This window comes from Homo sapiens, chromosome 6, assembly GCF_000001405.40.
Source record: "Homo sapiens chromosome 6, GRCh38.p14 Primary Assembly".
In the NCBI taxonomy this organism is placed as follows: Eukaryota; Metazoa; Chordata; class Mammalia; order Primates; family Hominidae; genus Homo; species Homo sapiens.
The window spans coordinates 107,990,349-108,006,637 of NC_000006.12; the positions used below are offsets into that span (position 1 = coordinate 107,990,349).

Sequence of the window (16,289 nt, forward strand, 5' to 3'; positions counted from 1 at the left end):
GAACCTTGGGTATCACCCCAGATGACAAGGCCACTTCATTAGTAGACCTTCCTAATTATGAGCTATGGATGGAGCAAATGTAAGTTTCCAAGATATTGAAAGACCCAGAACAATGGGTGAGGTACAACCAGCCTTGCATGCAAAACTTAAAGAATATATCAGACACCAAATTTCAAAAGATTAAAATCTACTTGAAAGTCAGGAACTTAAGAGTCCTGTGATTAAATAAAGGAGACCAAATTATAAAGAGGGACCCCACCTAATAACCTTCACATGGTGCTGGGAGAAAAGCTGAGTGTTGGGAGCAAAGCTGAGGTAGGGCTTGCATGTCTGCTAGACTTGCTGGCTCCTTGCTTCTAGCACTCCCATTATCTCAAGTAGCCATATGTTTCTCATTCACTTGATACACCGTTTCCTTTCAACCCCCACATCCTCACCAACTCTTTCTTTGTTTGATCACCAATAAATAGCGTGGGCTCCCAGAGCTAGGGGCCTTTGCAGCCTCCACACTCGCGATGGCCCCCCCGTCCCACTTTCTCTCTCTGTCTTTTTCTCATTCCTTTGACTCCGCCACACTTCGTCGCCCCCACAACCTGGTATTGGGTCTGATCACCCCAACAACATGGCCTGATGTAGATCTCTTTGAACTAGACAATTAAGTCCCAGATCCCAACCAATAATCAGTCAACAACCCCAATTCTGACCTTGGTTGTTCTGAGATTGAAGAGCGAATTCATGAATTGTATAAGTATAATCAAAGACAACCAAAAATTTTTACTTTTTCTCTCAAAAGCTAAATGTAGTGTAGTGCCCCTGTAGTCTAAGTTAGAGAAGAATACTAACTGCCTGTTTTTCCTTCTGTGCTCAGTGAGCCTTGCCTGTACTTGCTAGTTTCACATTCCTTGAGGCTCAGCGAGTTCCTGCTTCAGCTTCCTAGCCCAGCTGCAAAGTTACAAGGTTGATACAGAAACATGGTTTCCCAAGGATGTGGAACATGTAGTATAGATAAATGTAAAAGACTGATCAACTGCCTTAATTCTCGCTTCTGTAAGTACACTTCCTGCATCACGTAGCTCCTGACCACTGACTGCTTAAAAGGTGGCTGCTTTCTTTGTCCGGGGCTCAGACTTTACTGGATGCTAGTCCTACTGAGCCAGGTGATCACCTTTTAATAAAGACCTTTCCTGAACTCACGCTGTTCGGTGTCTCCCATCTTTGATTGTCCCGCAACAAGATCTTTTTGTTTTGCTTTTTCTTCTTTATTCCTTTTAGTGCTGGTAAAATCATTATTTTTTTTGAGATGGAGTTTCACTTTTGTCACCCAGGCTGGAGTGCAATGGTGTGATCTCGGCTCACTGCAACCTCTTCCTCCTAGGTTCAAGCGATTCTCCTGCCTCAGCCTCCTGAGTAGCTGGAATTACAGGCAGCCAACACCACGCCCAGCTAATTTTTATATTTTTAGTAGATACGGGGTTTCACCATGTTGGTCAGGCTGGTCTGGAACTCCTGATCTCAAGTGATCCACCCGCCTCGGCCTCCCAAAGTACTGGGATTACAGGCATGAGCCACCACGCCCAGTCAGTGCTGGTAAAATTAGTGCAACCCTGAGAAGTGTGAATAGAATATTCACCATATGCTACATATAGTAATATTTCTACAACCTCACTGTCATAGCTCAGGTTCCCCGGGAGACAACCTCTGAGATTCTGAGATTGTATGCAGGAGATTTATTGGGAAGTGCTCTTGGGGTTCACCATCTATGATGGGTGGTAAGGAAAGCAGGATTCGGTGGTGGGGGAAGGTAAACTGCAATGCAATCACTACAAAAGTCTCAGCCAACCTTGCAGATTGCTGTGAATCTGGGGTGGCCCTTCAGAGATGTCTCAACTTGCTGCCAAGGGGCCAGGCCTTTGTTCTCTCTTATGGACAAGTCATTGAATGTAACATTCCCCCACCCCCACCCACCAGGAGGCATAATCTTGGAGCTTTCATTGGCAGAGAGACCCTGCTCTGGGAGGGGCTCAGTTATGAGCTGTTTGGCCCCTGAGGGAATGAGTGCCTTAGTCCTGCAGAAGGATCTAAATGGCACACCACAGCATTCACTATATACACGCAAAAATGTAAGTCTCGGGAGATATAAAAATTAGATTAGATAAGCATAAAGAGCCAAGTGCCTGTAGTCCCAGCTACTCAAGAGGCTGAGGCTGGAGGACTCCCTGAGGCCAGGAGGTTGAGTCTGCAGTGTGTTATAATCAAGCCTGTGAACAGCCACTGTACTCCAGCCTCGGCAACATAGTGAAACCTCATCTGTAAAAACAAATATAAAAAAAAAGCATAAAGAAAACCTTTAAATCCTCACCGCTAGCCTTTTCTAATCAGTTTTAGTATAAATATGCAGTTTTGTAATTATTGTGAGATTTTGTGTGTGTTGTCTGCTCTTTAAAGTGTTTAAAGAGCATTTGAGAGACTCCGATTGAACTTGGGATTTTCATTAAATGATTAGAAGAGTTTAGTTAAATAAATTTTGGTAAATGTTTAAATGTTTAGGGAAATTTAACTTATTTAAACCTATTAAGTTTGGGTTGGTTCCTCTTATAAGTAGTTTGAATACTTACGAGTGTTAATTGTTTAAGGAGACGTTAATTTAACAAATTCATAAAATTAATAAATTTGGCATGGAACAAAGCCCAAAGAGTAGTGAGCATTACTCTCCATACACAAAAGCCTCTCAGACATTAAATAAGCTATCAATATATTCCAGGATGGCAGGGTTTTTTTTTTTGTTGTTTGATTTTTTTTTTTTTTTTTTTTTTTTTTTTGAGACAGAGTCTCACTCTGTTGCCCAGGCTGGAGTGCAGTGGTGCTATCTCTGCTCAATGCAAGCTCCACCTCCCGCGTTCACGCCATTCTCCTGCCTCAGCCTTCTGAGTAGCTGGGACTATAGGCACTCACCACCATGCCCGGCTCATTTTTTGTATTTTTAGTAGAGACGGTGTTAGCCAGGATGGTCTCGATCTCCTGACCTCGTGATCCGCCCGCCTCGGCCTCCCAAAGTACTGGGATTACTGGTGTGAGCCCCCTCGCCCGGCCGATGGCAGGGGTTTTATCTTTTCATCATATACGCCAATTTCAATCATTGGTGGTGGATGCTATGTTGAGATCTATGACGTCTGGGCTCAGTGGGAAATTCTGTCGTGATTGACTAGTCATGTCTGCCACAGGTGTGACAGCTCAGAGGATCAGCATATATGCAATATATTTATCAACATTGGGTCATTAGATAATCAGAAAAAAAGGTATTCAAACTATATTATCAGAAAAGAACGTATCCAAACTATATTATCTTTACTCCCCCTGGAAAGTCTTCACTGAATTTAAAATGGAATATCATTACCTAGGCTTTTATGTAGGGGTGATATCAGGAATATCCATCTAAATAATGTTTCTCTATATTTTCGGAACTGAGACTGAGAACACTGTAATCTTAACCAGTGTCCCTACATAAGGTTTCTTGTAGTAAATTTCTCCTAGAATTCAGTTGCAGAAAAAGTGTTTTCACTGGGTGCAGTGGCTCAAGCCTATAATCCAGCATTTTGGAAGGCTGAGGCAGGCAGATTACTTGAGGTCAGCAGTTCAAGATCAGCCTGGCCAACATGGTGAAAGCCCACCTCTACTAAAAATACAAAATTAGGCCGGGCGTGGTGATGCACACTCGTAGTCCCAGCTACTCGGGAGGCTGAGGCAAGAGAATCACTTGAACCCGAGACGTGGAGGTTGCAGTGAGCCGAGAATGCACCACTGCTTTCCAGCCTGGTGACAGAGCGAGACCTTGTCTCAAAAAAAAAAAAAATACAAAATACAAAATTAGCCGGGCATGGTGGTGCACCTGTAATTCCAGCTACTTGGGAGGCTGAGGCAGGAGAATTTCTTGAACCCCAGAGGTGGAGATTGCAGTGAGCTGGGATCATGCCACTGCACTCCAGCCTGGGTGACAGAGTAGGACTCTGTCTCAAAAAAAAAAAAAAAAGTGTTTTCATTGGATGAAAGAGTATGACCCTTTTATTGGGCAACAAAATAACAGTGAATTATACTGTCAAATTGCAATCCTCCCTTCCCTCCCCACCACTACTTTTTGTTTTTCACTCCGGCAGTAAAAATCTGCATTGCTTACTAATACTTTGGTGTGAGTATATTCTTCAGGGAGCTCAAAGGGACTCTGATATCTGCATTGAGGTAGAACGCATAGGACACACACTGAGACAACACAGGAATAGAATGGTGAGGGGGGTCAGCTGAAGTCAGAGTTAAATATTTCAAATGCACTGTCTGAGTCCATTCATTTCATAACTGAATGTTTAAGGATTACAGAGACTACTAGGCATGGGTACAAGAAGATGAGTAATGGCTGAGCACAGTGCCTCATATCTATAATCATAGCACTTTGGGAGGCCGAGGTTTCTTTCTGTGGAAGAATTCCTTGAGCTCAGGAGTTCAAGACCAGCACTGGGCAACATAGGGAGATCCTCGTCTCTACTGAAAATACGAAAATTTGCCAGGCTTCACAGTGCCACCTGTGGTCCCAGCTACTCGGGAGGCTGAGGTGGGAGGATTGCTTGAGCCCAGAAAGGTGGAGGCTGCAGTGAGCCAAGATAATCCCATTGCACTTCAGCCTGGGCGACAGGAGTGAGTCCCTGTCTAAAAAAAGAAAAAAAGAGAAAAAAAAATTTGTGTTTTGGAAATACTGTAGAATCCTAGTTTCCATTTATTGGATGGATTGGATTGGGAGTCAAGCTTTCAGGCAGGGACTATTGTTTCTGGAAAATATGGTTGAATAAAAAAAGGAAGTGTGAAACAACCTGTACAGTGTGATCTTATTTCAATACCACATTTTGCTGTGTATGTGTATATGTATATATATACACATATATCTCATACATATACATAAAGATCTTGAAAATGTATATATCAATATCAATCTAATAACAGAGTTTATCTCCTAAGGAAGGGGAAGAGAGGAGGTGTAGAGTGGACCAAAGAACTTGCCTTTGGCCAGGCTCAGTGGCTCATGCCTGTAATCCCAGCACTTTGGGAGGCCAAGGTGGGCGGATGGCTTGAGCTCAGGAGTTTGAGACCAGGCTAGGCAACGTGGTTCGAACCCTGTCTCTACAAAAAAAAAATACAAAAATTAGCCAGGCTTGATGGCACACACCTGTAGTCCCAGCTAGATTGCTTGAACCCAGGAGGTTGAGGCTGCAGTGTGCTGAGATGGAGCCACTGCCCTCCAGCCTGAGTGACAACGTAAGGCCCTGTTTTAAAAGAAAAAAGAAAAGAAAAGAAAGAAAGAGAAAGAAAGAAACTTAGCCTTTGTTCTGCAGACTTAATTTTGTAAGCAGAATTGAGATCTACATCCAGTTACCCGTTGTGAGTGATGAAGTGACTTGGGACCTATTCGAACATAACATATTCTTCCAGGGAAAGTCTCATGGGTTCAGCCGTTCAGCGACTATTCACTGGGCCCTGGACACTGCTGGGGCGATGGGAGGTTCCTGCCCCTGTGGAGTTTACAGTCCAGTTGTGGAGGAGAGAGACACACGTGAGACACTAATCTGACGATGCTAACAATGTGTGCCAGGCAGTGTATAACACATATGTTCTGGAGACAGGGGGATCTCTAAAAGTTTGAGTTGGATGAAAAAGCCTTCTCAGAGAGGCAGGGATTGAACTGGCCCCTAGAGGAAGAGCTTTCCAGGCTAGGACTTCACGTGAGCAAATGCACAGATGTTGCATTGTGTTGACTATTGAATATGGTGCATTTAAAGTACAGTCATGGCTGAGGGTTCAGAAGTGGGAAGTGACTTTGGAAAGGTGGTTGGGCCATCTCTCAAGATGAGGGCAGAAGGCAAGGCTGAGGCTCCTAAATGACAGTTATAACTAAACTTATATGTTGAGTAGACATTACACATGACCTATTGGAAAGAAACTATTAAGTGATGTACTATAAAGTCATTTTAATTTGCCCACAGAGGCATGAGTTGGATTTAAGGAAGCAAATCCTTTTAAAATGGACACTTTAGAGTCTATTCCTCTTGTATCAAATTGCTGTTGGGAAATGAAGAAATTTGGGGACATGATGGAAATGCTCTAGTTTTTTGTTTTTTGTTTTTTTTTTAGACAGGGTCTCGGTCTGTCACCCAGGCTAAAGTGCAGTGGTTTGATCAAGGATTACAGCAGCCTCGGCTTCCTGTGCCCAAGCAATCCTCCCACCTCAGCCTCCCAGGTAGCTGGGACCACAGGCACATGCCACCACACCCAGCTATTTAAAAAACATTTTTTTTTTTTTGTAGAGACAAGGTCTCATATGTGGCCCAGTGCTGGTCTCAAACTCCTGGGCTCAAGCAATTCTCCCATCTCGGCCTCCCAAAGTGCTGGGATTATAGGCATTACGGGCGTGAGCCACCATGCTCAGCTTTATTTTTGTTTTTGTTTTTTTTTAAGTGGAGACAGGGTCTCACTATGCTGCCGAATCTGCTCTCAACCTCCCAGGCTCAAGCAATCCTCCCACCTAAGTGTCCTGAGTAGCTGGGGCTACAGGAGTGTACCACCATGCCCAACTAATTTTTAAATATTTTTGTGGAGACAGTGTCTCCCTATATTGTTCAGGCTGGTCTCGAGCTCCTATGCTTGAGTGATCCTCCCACCTCAGCCTCCCAACGTGCTGGGATTGCAATTGTGAGCCACTGCACTTGGCCTACTCTGTGTCTTGATTGTCGTGGTGTTTTTACAGATGCAAACATTTGTTAAAATCCTCTGCATTGCACACTTAAAATGGGTGTGTTCTCTCGTGAGCAAATTATACAATACAAAATAACAGAGTGAATCTGAAAAATAAAAAATAACTGCCCTGGACTTCCTTTCCTTAGGCTGAGCAATACCATTTTAGAAATAGTTTAGGAATTTCAGTGAGTAAACAGGAAAAGAAAGATTCGGAGTTACTAAAGAGACTGGAAACAAAAATTTCCAATTAACTGTATGATTATTAACCAGCCAGCATGGGTTTACATAATAATTCCAGAGGTTTTTATGACTTTCATTTTTCTTTTGCCTTTAAACATTTTCTTCAATAAGCCAATCATGAGAATGTTCTGTAGGTGGTGGGAGGCATGAATGGCCGGGTGCAATTACTTCCCTAGACATTGGAATAAGACACACACACACTTAAACTGGCATTGTAGCTGTTTTTTGGTTTGGTTTTGTTTTGAGACAGAGTCTCGCTCTGTCACTGAGGCTGGAGTGCAGTGGCATGATCTCAGCTCGCTGCAACCTCCACCTCCTAGGTTCAAGTGATTCTCTTGCCTCAGCCTCCCAAGTAGCTGGGATTACAGGCATGCGCCACCACGCCCAGCTAATTTTTGTATTTTTAGTAGAGATGGGGTTTCAACATGTTGGCCAGGCTGCTCTTGAAATCCTGACCTAAAGTGATCTGCCTGCCTCGGCCTCCCAAAGTGCTGGGATTACAAGTGTGAGCCACCACACCCTGCCTAAACTGGCATTGTAGAACTTCTCTTTTTCACTCTACATTGTACCGTTTGCTGTGTTATTTAAGAATATGCAATTCTGCTACAGAAGAAGGAAAAACACCTAGGATGGGTGAAATGCATTGTCGTAGTCAGCTTGGGCTGCTATAACAAAACACCACAGACTTGAGTGGCTTCAACAGCAGGCGTTTCTCACACCTCTGGATTCTGGGAAATCCAGGATCAAGCTGCTGGCAGGTTCAGTTTCTGGTGAGGGCCCTCTTCCTGGTTTGCAGATGGCTGCCTTCTTGCTGTGCCCTCACACGGTAGAGAAAAAGAGCTGTTGTCTCTCTTCTTTTTATAAGGACACTAAGTCTATCACAGGGGCCTCACCCTCACGATCTCATCTAAACCTGATTACCTCGCAAACACCCTGCCTCTAAATACCATCACATTGGGGGTTAGAGCTTCAACATATGAAGGACATCAACATTCAGTTGGGGGAGACACCAACATTCAGCTCATAATACTCATAAGAAATGTTAAGCATAGATAAAAACAAACTTAAGCAGCTTGTGAGAAATAAAATTCATAAGATATGTTAAGTATAGGTGGTGATCAAGCAAATGGCTTATGAAACAATTCATAAAATGTGTTAAATACAGGTAGTAAGTAATATGTTTAAAAGGTCAGAACAAAAGTCTTAAAGACAAAAAGGGGCCAGGTGCAGTGGCTCACGCCTGTAATCCCAGCACTTTGGGAGGCCGAGGCAGATGGATCACCTGAGGTAAGGAGTTCAAGACCAGACTGGCCCACATGGTGAAACCTTGTCTCTACAAAAAATACAAAAATTAGCCGGGCATGGTGGCAGGCACCCGTAATTCCAGTTACTCGGGAGCCTGAGGCACGAGAATTGCTTGAACCTGTAAGGCAGAGGTTGCAGTGAGCCGAGATCGCACCACTGCCCTCCAGCCTGGGTGACAGAGAGAGACTCTGGAAAAAAAAAAAAAGAGGGATGGAAAGTCTATGGGTTATGCTGCCTCTAGGCTGACACTTACATCATCCCTAAATCAGCCACCTTTCAGTAATCTCAGTATCATCTCCTAGGGCCCTACATATGCTTTGCCCCAGAAATGCATATAAAACCTGTAAGTGTTCAGCAGGCTAACTGGCAAGCTATAGCTCTGGCAGGCTTACTTGCTGTGGATCTTTCTAATAGAGTAAGCATAGGGGAGGGAGGGCATCCAGGCACTTTCTGCTGACCCCTCCCCAATTTCAACTCTGCTCCTTCCAACCACACCATTGGCAGAGAAAGGTCATCTTCCCTCAGACCTGCTTGCTCCCTCTCCTAAGAGTGTTAACCTATTCCATCTACATCCTCCTTGCTTTCTGTTGTGTGTTTTAAGTAGGTTCAATCATCTCCACTTTGAGCAATATACATTTCATCTGTGAACCCTTCTGTTCCCTGACCTCTGAGAACTCTTTCCTGATAGTGAAATTGGAGGCTGCCTTTCCCCACAATACAGCCTGATTTGGGGGATAGCCAAAGCAGCCTTCAATCTATTTGATGTTTTTATTGTTTTTGGTTTGTTTGTTTGTTTTTTGTTAGTTTTAGGCAGTGTCTTGCCCTGTTGCCCAGGATAGAATGCAGTGGCATGACCTCAGCTCACTACAGCCTTGACCTCCCAGGCTCAAATGATCCTCCCACTTTAGGCTCCCAAAGTGCTGGGATTACAGGCATGAGCTACTTCATCCAGCCCATTTGATGTTTTCAAATGCATATGAGGTGCAAGTAAAGTTATATTCCTGACTTTCCAAACCAAGTAAGTGTTAGTTTTCATTCAAGCCCCTTTGTCACATCCCATGCCAGGCAGCATGAGTTCTTATGATGTGAGCAGGGGATAAACCAAAATTTTGTCAGGGGTGGGATAGGATTTAGAGGGAGAGGCACATCCCTCCTTGATTCCTATCCATTCATTGATTCAGTAAACACTTAACAAACCCCACCTTTTTCCTAATTGTGGTCGGGTTAGAGTGTTAAATAAGGTCAAATCCCACCCTCAGGAGGCAAGCTTTCTCAAGGAGGCCCCAGATGCATGGCCCTTACACAAACAGGAGAATGAAGTGCAAGAGAGGCATTATAAAGGGCCATGGGAAAGAGAGGTGTATGTGGATGCATGTGCTCTGGGGTGTGTGTGTGTGTGTGTGTGTGTGTGTGTGTGTGTGTGTAACAAAAAGCAGACCTCACAGAGGAAGTGTCATTTTAGAAGTCTTGAAGGAGGAGGCCGGGCATGATGGCTCATGCCTGTAATCCCAGCACTTTGGGAGGCTGAGACAGGTGGATACCCTGAGGTAAGGAGTTCAAAACCAGCCTGACCAACATGGTGAAACCCCACCTCCTCTAAAAATACAAAATTAGCCCGGCATGGTGGTGCATGCCTGTAATCTCAGCTACTCAGGAGGCTGAGGCATGAGAATCACTTGAGCCCGGGAGGCGGAGGTTGCAGTGAGCTGAGATCACGCCGTTGCATTCCAGTCTGGGCAACAAGAGTGGAACTCCATCTCAAAAAACAAAAAAAAGTCTTGAAGTAGGAATAGGAGTTTTCCTGAGGGACAAAAAACCACACTTTGGTCATTCAGAAGGAGGGATGATTATAAGCAAAGACCCAGGCACATGGAAGAATATGAGTGTGAGCTGGGAGCAGTGGCACATGCCTGTAGTCTCAGCTATTCAGGAGGCTGAGGCAGGAAGATGGCTTGAGTCTAGGAGTTCAAGGCTGCAGTGAGCCATGATCTTGACACAGCACTCCAGGCTGGGTAACAGAGCAAGACCCTGTCTCTTAAATAAATAAATAAAAGAGGCTGGGCGCGGTGGCTCACACCTGTAATCCCAGCACTTTGGGAGGCCGAGGTGGGCGGATCACAAGGTCAGGAGATCGAGACCATCCTGGCTAACACGGTGAAACCCCGTCTCTACTAAAAATACAAAAATTAGCCGGGCGTGGTGGCGGGCGCCTGTAGTCCCAGCTACTTGGGAGGCTGAGGCAGGAGAATGGCGTGAACCCGGGAGGCGGAGCTTGCAGTGAGCCGAGATTGCACCACTGCACTCCAGCCTGGGAGACAGAGCAAGACTCCATCTCAAAAAAATTAAAAAATAATTAAATAAATAAAAGAATCTGAGTGTGGACCATGGAGGAGCTAGGTATGAATGGAGCATGGGTGTAGAAAGGGAGGGGCAGGTGACCACACTGGAAAGGTGAGCCAAATTGAGTCCTAGGATGAAAAGCCCATAGGACTCATATTAAGCTGTCCTTCTTGTTGCTCAAAATCAATAAATAATATTTTAAAACTTGCAGTCACTCTCATCACTCTCGATTAATCCTTCCCCTTACATCCATTCCGATAGCAAGTTCTGTTTGCTCTACCTTCAAACAATATCCTGCAAGACCCGCCTTAATCCAGGTGATGGTCCCCTCTCCACTGAGTTGCTACAATAGCCTCTGAACAGCTCACCTCACTTCTGTCGTTACCTGCCCCTCCCCAGCAGTCAACTCAACCCAACCCAGTAGCCTGGGTGATTTTTTTTTTTTTTTGAGACAGGGTCTTGCTGGGTCTCCCAGGCTGGAGTGCAGTGGTGTGATCTTATCTCACTGCAATCTCCACCTCCTGGGTTCAAGCGATTCTTGTGCCTCAGCAGCTGGGACTACAGGTGCACACTACCAAGCCTGGCTAATTTTTGTATTTTTAGTAGAGACAGGGTTTCACCATGTTGGCCAGGCTGGATTTGAACTCCTGACTTCAGGTGATCCACCCGCCTCGGCCTCCCAAAGTGCTGGGATAACAGGCATGAGCCACTGCACCCGGCCTCGTCACCATATTTATGTCTCAGAAAGATCCCTCTCAAGGAGGCTGAGCTGAAGCAGGGGACAAGAGGTGATAAAGGCCCTGCCACAGAGAAAGGCTAGATTCCAGAGACATTTACAAACCAACAGAGATCAAAGGTGTTTTACAGACTGACTACTGAGATTAGAGTTAGTAATAAAGAGTACATTCACTTTAACCCAGCACATATTTGCTGCATATTTGCTAAGGGCAAGGGATCATGGGAAAAAGGGATAAAAGGACAGACCATGTCCCAAGCGGGGTGTTAGGTCAGGTGAGTAGGGAGCTGGAGAGAAGTTTGGTGCATGTGCTGGGAGAATGGGGGGCAGAAAACGCTCAATTTCCAACATGGGGGAAATTCAACAAGACGCCATAGGCTAGGGCGTATCTAAGTTAGGTACTGGAAGAATTTCAAAGGCAAAGACTGGAAAGAACAGTGTGTGGCAGGACAGATTTTGAATTTCAACCTCTCTACCATCTCTCGCAGAACTTTCAATGGAGTTGCTAGTGATTTGAGAAATAATTATTTCCATACCCCATAAAACAAAATAAAATTTTAAAAAGAGGACAAGGTACACAGAAAAGCAGCAAGGAAGAATTAGGATCATTCACCACCAGAATAATTTGGTCCAGAACAAGTGAACCATGTCAATAAGATTTTAAGAAAACACAGCAAAATCACTTCCTTGTTCAGATGCGTCACAAAGGGAAGAACAACAAAAATCCTCCAAGTGAATAACTCTGCTGACTCCCGGACTTTGACCTGGGAGAACAATTTTCTGCCAGGGTGATATTGTTTTATAGCAAGTTGAGATCCTTGGTAAGCAGGATTCCTACATAAAAGCTGACAGTCATACCGGCTTGAGGAACTTGCCTACATTTTTAATAAAACTGTCAGATTAAGCCATGCCTGGCTGCAGTCTATTATTAATACACATTCTTAACTGTCAATTAGTTAACTGGCTAGTAAAAGGAACCTGGCTTACAAGATTGTTGCTAATGAATATAATGCTTTGTTCTCCAGCAAAACATATGCTTAGGTTGTGTAATTAGAAGAAGGGCCCCCTCCCTCCTTCCCCATAGGGAGATCATGTGCAGCTGAATAAAGGCGCTTATTATACCTGTGAGGGGTCAAAGTCTGTGGATCTGTGGCTTATGGTATTATGACAGATTACAAAATCACTCTATTATGCTAGTCAATCTGTTTGCAAGCACCTAGTAGGGAGCTAGCTGGGCACTAGACGCTCCAAAACAAGATTCCCATTGGTTTTCTTCCTAAGGTCTCATGACGGGTCAGCTGTTGTTGACATCACCCCGCTGCTCACATGTCAGTCAGAGCCTTTCTGTCTGACTTCTGCCTCTGTCACTGCCAAGCTGTCCTCTGCGAGTCAGCCCTTGCCTCGGGCCACAACCATCTCCCAAGAACAGCTCAGATGAATTTGAAATCCACAGGCTTTTGTGCTAGTGAAAAGGAAACGGAAGCGGGACACTTAAACCCTGTATGTCTTTTGTTTCTGACTCTCCTTACCTCCTGTCCTTCCCCTCTCCCCCTCTTTTTCTCTTCGACTGTTTCCCTGGTTTCTCATCCCTCTCCTTCCCACTATGGTCATATGCCTTCTTTGAAAACATATTTATTTTATTTTATTTATTTATTTTGAGATGGAGTCTCGCTCTGTCACCCAGGCTGGAGTGCAGTGGCACGATCTCAGCCCACTGCAACCTCCGCCTCCCGGATTCAAGCAATTCCTCTGCCTCAGCCTCCTGAGTAGCTGGGATTACAGGCACCCACCACCAAATCTAGCCAATTTTTGTATTTTTAGTAGAGACGGGGTTTCACCATGTTGGCAAGGCTGGTCTCGAACTCCTGACCTCAAGTGATCCACCTGCCTCGGCCTCCCAAAGTGCCAGGATTACAGGCGTGAACCACTGCGCCCAGCCTAAAACATATTTAGAGGAGAGCACAGCTAATAGACCTGTCTCCTCCAAAAGCCTTTGTTTTGAAGTCAATGGTCACATGCACCTACAAAACCATTTCAAATTCAAGAGGTCGAAAGATATTTGCCTAATACTCCAAAAAAGTGGCTTTACGGAACCTTAATTTTATTACCTCAGCAGACAAATAATTATTTTCCAAAGTTTTTCTACCTTAACTCTTCTACATTTCCGGCAGTCTTCTGCCATTGGCTGGATTGTCTGTGTGGGAAGGGACAGGGACAGGGGGTGATAGTCTACATTCCTGCCACCCCCAGCCTCCCTACCTAGTTTCTGCAACTGACTAAACAGCCCAGAGTTTACAAAGCGGAAATTCACTGGGGAATGTGACATGTCAAATCATAATGTTTATAAGACTTAATGAGTAGGAATAAAACCACAATTTTCCAAGTAGTGATATCTGGAAGAAAAATCATGGAAACCATATCCACAGGGGCTTCAAGCAGAGCTGCTTCCCTGAGGCAGAGGAAGAGTCTGGCGCCACGGGAAAACCAATGTTCACTGCTGCCCATGTATTGTGGAGTCACATCGCTTGGAAGACACAGCCACTTTTCTTTTTTTTTCCCAGTGGAAAATAACTTTTATTGAGACCACACCAGCTGCGAAATCTGTTCCTGGCATTAAGCTCCTTCTTCCTTTGCAATTCCGTCTTTCTTGAGTGGTCCCATGAATGCTTTCTTCTGCTCCATGGTCTGGAAGCAGCCATGGCCAAACTTGGAGGTGGTGTCAATGAACTTAAGGTCAATCTTCTCCAGAGCCTGCCGTTTCATCTGCACCAGCAAGGACTCGTGGAGGGTGAGCACCCGCTTCTTGGTTCCCACCACACAGCCTTTCAGCATGACAAGGTCATTGGTCACTTCACCATAGTGGACAAAGCCACCCAGAGGATTGGTGCTCTTGTCAGACAGGTCAGAGTCAGTGGAGGCATTGTTCTTGATCAGCTTGCCATCCTTGATAAGGTAGCCCTGGCCAATCTTATAGATCTTCTTGTTGATCTCAGTGCGGTGACGGTAGCCTTTCTCCCCAGCACGTGCCACAGAGAAGGCCACACGAGCAGGATGCCATGCCCCAATACAGGCCACCTTGCACAGGCCTCGGTGGGTCTTGCAGGGCAGCTTCTTGGTGTGCCAACGACTGGTGACCCCTTTGTAGCCTTTGCCCTTGGTCACCCCAATGACGTCGATCATCTCATCCTGCCCAAACACTTGGTTCACATTTACCTGCTGCTCGAGCCTCTCGCAGACCCAGTCCAGCTTCTCAGCCACGGTGCCTCCGTTCACCTGGATCTCCATCAGGTGGGCCTTCTTCTGGCGCAGAGGAAGCAGGCGCATCTGGGTGTGGGCAATGACGCGGATGACGTGGCAGTATTTCTTCATGCTGCTGAAGTCCTTCTCCAGCTGCTTCTTGACATCCTCATCCTGCCATTTCTTGCAGTACTTCGTAAAGGCCTTCTTTTTAGATTTATGCCAGTTCTTATAGAAACGCCTCTTGCATTCATTACTGATGTGCTCAGCGAAGACAGTCTTGAAGGTCCGGAGGCCTCAAGGGGTTTCCACATAGCCCACAATGCCCACAACCACCATGGGTGGCGTCTCCACAATGGTCACAGCCTCCACCACCTGCTTCTTGTTCACCTTGGATGCTGGGCTGTCGACTTCCCTCATGATGTGGGTCATGCCAGCTTTGTATCCCAGGAAGGCTGTGAGGTGGACCGGCTTGGACGGATCATCCTTAGGGAAGCTCTTCACCTTCCCACGATGCCTGCTGCTGCGCTTCTGAGGCAGGAAGCCGAGGGACCCATGTCTGGGAGCAGAAAACTTTCTGTGAGACATCACGCAGTCAAATCCCGCCGGTAGAGCACAGCCACTTTTCATCAATGATTTTTTTTTTTTTTTTTGAGATGGAGTCTCACTCTGTAGCCCAGGCTGGAGTGCAGTGGTGCAATCTCGGTTCACTGCAAGCTTTGCCTCCCAGGTTCACGCCATTCTCCTGCCTCAGCCTCCCGAGTAGCTGGGACTACAGGCGCCCGCCACTGCCAGGATGGTCTTGATCTCCTGACTTCGTGATCCGCCCACCTTGGCCTCCCAAAGTGCTGGGATTACAGGTGTGAGCCACCGCACCTGGCCACATCAATGAATATTTTGTAGGTGACCATTAAGGACTGAAAATATCTATGGTAAGGCAAGAGATGACAGAAACCTGGACAGACCTGGAGGAGAAATGGTGTCACCCAAAAGGGCTCTGTAGTTATAAACGAGGAAGCAGCAGCTGAGTTCATCAAGGGTCTGTGTCAGTCACATCTGTATTTAATGGTTTAGTGTTATTTTTTCCCATATATATTAGTCCATTCTCACACTGCTGTTGTCAGAGGTGTTCTAACCAGAGCGACTCTATCTTGAGTGAGGGCCAGGAAAATGAAGCTGGGACTTGCTGTGCTGCATTCCCAGAAAGGTATTCCTAGCCTCTAGATGTTTACAGTTAATGAAACAGATTGATAATGTTTACTAAACAGAACCAGACTTGGGAATGTTCTAATATCCCGATATCTGGAGAACAAAGACATTCCTAATTTTGTTTTAAAGATAATATTCTTTTTTTTTTTTTTTGAGAGGGAGTTTTTTTGTTGTTGTTGTTGTTTTGTTTATTTTTTTTTGAGACAGAGTCTTGCTCTGTCGCCCAGGCTGGAGTGCAGTGGTGCGATCTTGGCTCACTGCAAGCTCCGCTTCCCGGGTTCACGCCTTTCTCCTGCCTCAGCTTCCCGAGTAGCTGGTACTACAGGCGCCCGCCACCATGTCTGGCTAATGTTTTTGTATATTTTTTTAGTAGAGATTGGGTTTCACCGTGTTAGCCAGGATTGTCTCCATCTCCTCGTGAGCTGCCTTGGCCTCCCAAAGTGCTAGG

The 16,289-nt window shown here is 45.5% G+C and overlaps 1 pseudogene, besides 1 other annotated feature; it reads right to left on the reverse strand.

Moving 5' to 3' along the window:
* Window positions 12,560-13,069: an enhancer, noted in NCBI's record as "NANOG hESC enhancer chr6:108324112-108324621 (GRCh37/hg19 assembly coordinates)". NCBI's record gives its function as "activates a minimal SCP1, AML or CMV promoter by ChIP-STARR-seq in naive and primed H9 embryonic stem cells {active_cell/tissue: H9 hESC(naive and primed)}" and the evidence as "EXISTENCE:reporter gene assay evidence [ECO:0000049][PMID:30033119]".
* RPL3P7 (ribosomal protein L3 pseudogene 7) lies at window positions 13,954-15,246 on the reverse strand (annotated as a pseudogene).